Raw genomic sequence first — 6,178 nt, forward strand, 5'->3', positions numbered from 1 at the left:
AAGGGATCTAGGATGCATGCTCCTTATGAGAATCTAATGCCTGATGATCTGCAGTGGAACAGTTTCATCCTGAAACCATCCCCACTGCTGCCCCACCTGTGGAAAAAATAGTCTTCCACAAAACAGGTCCCTGGTACCAAAAAGGTTGGGGACCGCTGGTCTAGGTAATAATGCATAATATTGTAGAGAGGTAAGATAACTGAGAAAATACCCAAAGGTGCAGAGAAAAGTACAAAGCAAAATTACTCAGCATCCATTATCCCCAAAGAAGTATTGATAACTTTTAAAATATATTGCCTTTCATTGTTTCTATGTGTTCATCTATGTATATGTGTATGTGCGTATGCAAGATGATAACCCGTAATACATGAGTTTATTTTGCTTTACAAGATCAGGATTCTGTTATTTCTATGAGCTTGCTAGCACTTCCATAACAAGGTACCACAACTGAGTGGCTTAAGTAACAGCAATTTGCTGTCTCACGGTTCTGGAGGTTAGAAGTCTGAGATCAAGGTGTTGGCAAATTGGTTCTTAGTGAGGACTGTGAGAAAGAATATGTCCCAGGCCTCTCTCCTGTCTTCTGCTGTTTTTCTGGAAGTCTTTGGTGTTTCTCAGCTTCTGCTGCATCACCCCAGTCTCTGCCTTCCTCTCCACATGGCAGTATCCTTGGTGCATGTCTGTCTCTCCACATGGCATTCTTTTAATAAGGATAATAGTCATTTTGAATTAAGTTCCCTCCTACTTCATTATGACCTCATCTTAACTTGATTGATTATACCTACAACAACCTTATTTCCAAATAAGGTCACCTTCCGAGGTAACGGGGGTTAGGACTCCAACATATCAATTTTGGGAGGACACAATTCAACCCATAACAACTATTTGTACGATATTGCATCTTATTTTTTTTCTACTTACCATTCTATGTTGACATTTTTGTGAGGGGAAAGGGCTGGCACATGCATATGTGGGCAGGGAGAGAAGGCCCAAGGGGAGCAGCACAGTGGGGAGCAACCCACAGCCTTGGGGAAGGCACGGCAGGAGAAGAGCATGGAGAAAGGGGCAGGGGAGCTGTCAGAGCATTGACCATCACCGTGGTTTTCCTGGTTCACAGGCTTCCTGAGGGCTCCTCAGAAACATGTGTTAGAAAAGAAAAGCTTTCCGGTCTGTCCAGTCTCCTCCATGACCACAGTTTCTCACCCACATACCATTGTCTGGCTTGGAATGGATCCTGGAAGGAGGACTCAAGAGAAACCATAGAAACAGACAACAGGAAGTAAGTGTGAGGGAAGTTTTGGACGGTGAAAGTATTAGATTTGTCAACTGGGAAGCAGTATAATATTATAATTAAGCCCTACATAGAGTCAAACAAATGTTTTCATATCCTACCTCTGACACTCATTTTTAAAATATTTTATTTTTTGGAGCAGTTTTAGATTCACAGCAAAATTGAGCAGAAAGAATAGAAATTTCTCATATACTCCCTGTCCCCACACATGCAAAGGCCCTCTCCATTATCAACATCCCCACACAGAGTGGTACATTTTTTACAGCTGATGAACCTACATCAACCCATCATCACCATCCAAGTCCGTAGTGTCAATTAGGATTCACTCTTGGCATCGTGCATTCTATGGGTTTGGACAAATGTATGACACGTATCCACTATTATATATCATACAGAGTATTTTCGTTCCTCAAAATCCTCTGTGCTCTGCCTCTTCATCCCTCCCGAGGACAACCCCCAGCAACTATTGACCTTTCTACTGTCTCTATAGTTCTGCTGTTTCCAGAATGTCACATAGTTGGAATCATACAGTATGAAGGCTTTTTAGATTAGCTTCTTTAACTTAATAATCTGCAGTTAAGGTTCCTCTACATCTTTTCACGTCGTGATAGCTACATTCATTTTTCTGTGAGATTTTGGGCATATTGGTCTGTCTCTGTAAGCTTCCATTTCCTCATCTGATAGTAGTACCTATGCATAGGGTTGTGGTAAGAATAAAAACGAGGTGATATATGTAAAGTACTTGCCATAGCGCCTGGCAGGAAGAAGTACTTACTGTAGTGCCTGGCACTTCGTTCACTCATTTATTCAACCAATATTTGTTGTCTGCTGCTTCAAGGTCTGTGTTGAATGCTAAGGATACAGTGTTAAACAAAACTGACATGGTTCCTGTCCTCATGGAAATTACACTCTGGAGAGAAAGGTAGAGATTTAAGCAAATAAACACACAAGTAGTCTTTCATTTTAAACCATATAATAATTTGATAAAAAAACTATTTCTAAAATAGAAAAAATGGGGAAACAGATTTAATTTGGAGGGGTGGGGAGGGGATGCACTTAGGGAGAGCCACTCTGAGGAAGTAATATGAAGCTGAGACCTGAAAGTTGATTTGGAAATAGCCAGATGAAGCGCTTTGGGTGTGGGGGAACATGGGGAAGAGTGTCCCAGGTAGAGAGAGCAGGTCCTAAGGTAATAAAGAGCTCATTGGCCCATTAGAGGAACTGAAACATCAGTGTGACTGGAGTGAAATGAACAAGGGGGAACAGGGTGCATATGAGTTTGGAGACATAGGCAGATCCCAGATATTGCAGGGAGTCATGGGATCTCATTGGATGCCTATTCTTAAGAGAATGAGCGGGACAGAAGACTCAAAGGAAGAATAATAAGGGAGGAGAGAAAACCAAAAGAGAGGAATAACACAGAATAAGGGGGCTAGAGGGTGGGTGGGTGAGAGAGACAGAGAGAAGAGAGAGAGACAGAGCAACAGAGAGAGACACAGTGAGACATTTTGAAAGTCAAAAACAGAGAGGTTGAGGAGGATGAGGGCTAAGCAGGACCGAAATTTAGCAAGTAAGAAGTCCTTTGAGACCTCTGAGACAGCAGGTTCAGTGCAACGGTCAAAGTGAAAGCTAGATTACAAGGAGTTAAGAAGTAGTATGTGGTGAGGAAGTAAAGGAAGAAAAGGAAGTTAGCGTATTTTTTTAGAAGTATTATGATGAAGGAAAAGAGAAAGTTTGGGTGATAGCTTAAGTGAGAATTCCTTCTTTATTTTTATTTTAGATTGGAACTTTTTGGGCATTTTTCTAGGCTGAGGAGAAGGATCTAGTAGGTAAAGATTGAAGGCAGGAAGAGAAAGGAGAACTGATTCTGCCTTCAGGAGGCCTCATTCCTGTAGTTATTTTGCCTGCAATCAGAAAGTAACAGACTCTGGTATCATGATCGGGCCAGAGACCTAAACGATGTGCAATTTCAGTCATAGATACGGTTAATTAAAAGACTGTACAAAGTACTCCCATGGTTTTTAAAATTAAAACTATAAATCAATATAGTAATATTTTTAATTTCTGTATTTTAAAACAACTGGCTTTTAAAGAATTTAAAGAAATTCATACTAGACATAATTAAGAATGTATTCTACTTGCACTCAAGTGCTGTTACTAGCTCCCTTAATATAATCCTGGTCTCATTTTTGCATTTGATAGAATCCTTTCTTTGTACTTACCCTGGACCATTTATTTAGGCCAAAGCCCTCTTAGGGTAGCCCCAGATTTCAGGTCAGTTTGGCATCAATGGCTCTTTCAAAGGAATTTCAGTTTTGATTTCCCAGTTGCTCATAGCTTTTCTTCTGACTGAAGAAGATGGAAAAGACATTGACCCTGCTGGGTTGATGGACTCATGGAACAAGCAAGTTTCATTTTGCCTGCCCAGTTTTCTTATCAGCTAGGAATGAGGTACATTTTCCATCTCACCTCCTCCCTTTTTCATACAGCAAAGGAAAAAAATTACTGAGTTTTATTTAGTTTTTTTAAACATCAAAGTTAAATATGCACATAGTTTAAAGAATCGAATATTTCTAAATTACTAATTACAAGAAACAGCATTCCCCTACTCCACCCCTTCATTTCCCACTCCTCAGAGGAAATCACTTTCAATGCTTTCACTAAATCTTTTTTTAGGGGGAGGAGGGAAATCATTGTATCTCTAAATAGCTACCTCTTAGTTTTCTCTATTGACTTTCCACTGTGGAAGATGGGGATTCAGTTTTCGCCTCTTCCTATACCACATGGGCCTATATTTCTACGTCACTATTAAACTGACACTCAGTGTTTATATTACTATGATCAAATAAATACTATTCACACCTGTGTTGCATAATAAATTATGATCACTTTCTTCAAAACTATTTTGCTTTCTCTGGAGTTAATAATTGTCTCATTTTTCATTTGCCTAGTTTTTCTATGCATATGCCACTAATTTAATCCATACTCCTCTGTAGTTGTTTAAGTCTCCTCTCAATATGTCCAAACAAACTTGGTATTCCATCAGTTTCATCTGGAAGAGAGCTCTTCCAGAGCCTACTGATCTGCTCCTCTCTGGGCTAACTGACCTCTAGGCCTGCTGTGCATCTGTCATCTTGGGACTTCCCTTTACCCACATCCTGGGGACTCTCTTCACCTCTGTGTTGAGTGCTCTGGTTCCTGAATTCCGCCTCTTCCTCTTTCTTGACTCACAACACTGTTTTGGTGGAGCACATTCTTCAGTAGTTTCCTAAGAGAGAGTGCAGGGAAGATATAACATTTGCCATCAGTGCCCTGCCCAAATTCTCTTGGCACTTAACATCCAGGCCTTCAAAACTGCCAGCACATATGTCTGTTTGCCTGAGGGCTTTTTCTAGCTACTGAAAGTTTGCTCAGGAAGTGCTGGGGAATTAACCCCCTTTTCCCTGGGAGAGACCCTTAACCAATGACTGATGAGAGTTAGTAGATAAATATCCCAGCTTGCTCAACCATGAGGCGGTTTAACCCTGAAGCATGCTTTCTACACAGGTCTCCCAGAGTTCCCCGATGGAGTCAAGTTCCACTGGTTCACAGTAACTTGCAAGATATATTAACTTCCGGCCGGGCGCGGTGGCTCACGCCTGTAATCCCAGCACTTTGGGAGGCCGAGGCGGGCGGATCACGAGGTCAGGAGATCGAGACCATCCTGGCTAAAACGGTGAAACCCCGTCTCTACTAAAAATACAAAAAATTAGCCGGGCGTAGTGGCGGGCGCCTGTAGTCCCAGCTACTTGGGAGGCTGAGGCAGGAGAATGGCGTGAACCCGGGAGGCGGAGCTTGCAGTGAGCCGAGATCCCGCCACTGCACTCCAGCCTGGGCGACAGAGCGAGACTCCGTCTCAAAAAAAAAAAAAAAAAAAAAAAAAAAAAAAAGATATATTAACTTCCGTAGGATCCTTTTCTCGTTACTTTACTCCCGTACAGATGTTTACTGGGGTCATCTCCCAAATAAACTAATTTTGCTCTTATATTTTTTCTTTTCTTTTCTTTTTTTTTTTTTTTGAGACGGAGTCTCGCTCTGTCGCCCAGGCTGGAGTGCAGTGGCGCGATCTCGGCTCACTGCAAGCTCCGCCTCCCGGGTTCACGCCATTCTCCTGCCTCAGCCTCCCGAGTAGCTGGGACTACAGGCGCCCGCTACCACGCCCGGCTAATTTTTTGTATTTTTAGTAGAGACGGGGTTTCACCGTGTTAGCCAGGATGGTCTCGATCTCCTGACCTCGTGATCCGCCCGCCTCGGCCTCCCAAAGTGCTGGGATTACAGGCGTGAGCCACCGCGCCCGGCCATATTTTTTATTTTCTATCTGTTATCTTTCTGCTTTCCCTTCTACTTTCCAAATCTACTAAGCTTTTTTATATTTTTGCTATCATATTTAAATTTCTAAGTTTTTTTTGTTCTCTGAATGTTCCTTTTAAAACATAGCATTCTGTTCTTATTTCATATATGCACTAGTTCTCTTATTTCTCTGGAGATATTATTAATACTTCTTGTTTTCTTTTTCTTTCAGAGATGCTGTCATTTCTGAGTTATCTTTGGAGCATTTCTCTCCAGTGTGTCAGGGTTTCAGAGAAGGCTTTCCTAATATTCAGGCTGGCTGTCAGGGTTTCCTAAGTAAGAGAAGATGGCAGAAGGCAATGGGCTTATAATCTCCTGTTTTTTCCCAGCATGTTGTCCTTTCACACAATAGTGCCTTGTCCCTTCTCTGTCTTACTCTCCCACCAGAAAAACCTCCATTCTTGGACATCGTGGGGAAGGGGCAATCCATCTAACAGCAAGAGGAAGAGGGGGCCTGGAGCTTTCATTGTTTCCTGAACTGATTTTCAATGCAACTTACTG

General features: G+C 42.0%; 1 long non-coding RNA gene across 1 annotated transcript; it reads right to left on the bottom strand.

Moving 5' to 3' along the window:
• Positions 1-281: 281 nt before the first annotated feature.
• LOC124904408 (uncharacterized) lies at positions 282-5,146 on the bottom strand. Its single transcript, XR_007066580.1, has 3 exons — positions 4,464-5,146; positions 3,511-3,637; positions 282-2,198 (listed from the first exon to the last, which is right to left on the bottom strand). It is a non-coding gene; the product is annotated as an uncharacterized LOC124904408 (long non-coding RNA).
• Positions 5,147-6,178: the final 1,032 nt, after the last annotated feature.

Source organism: Homo sapiens, chromosome 1, assembly GCF_000001405.40.
Source record: "Homo sapiens chromosome 1, GRCh38.p14 Primary Assembly".
Lineage (NCBI taxonomy): Eukaryota > Metazoa > Chordata > Mammalia > Primates > Hominidae > Homo > Homo sapiens.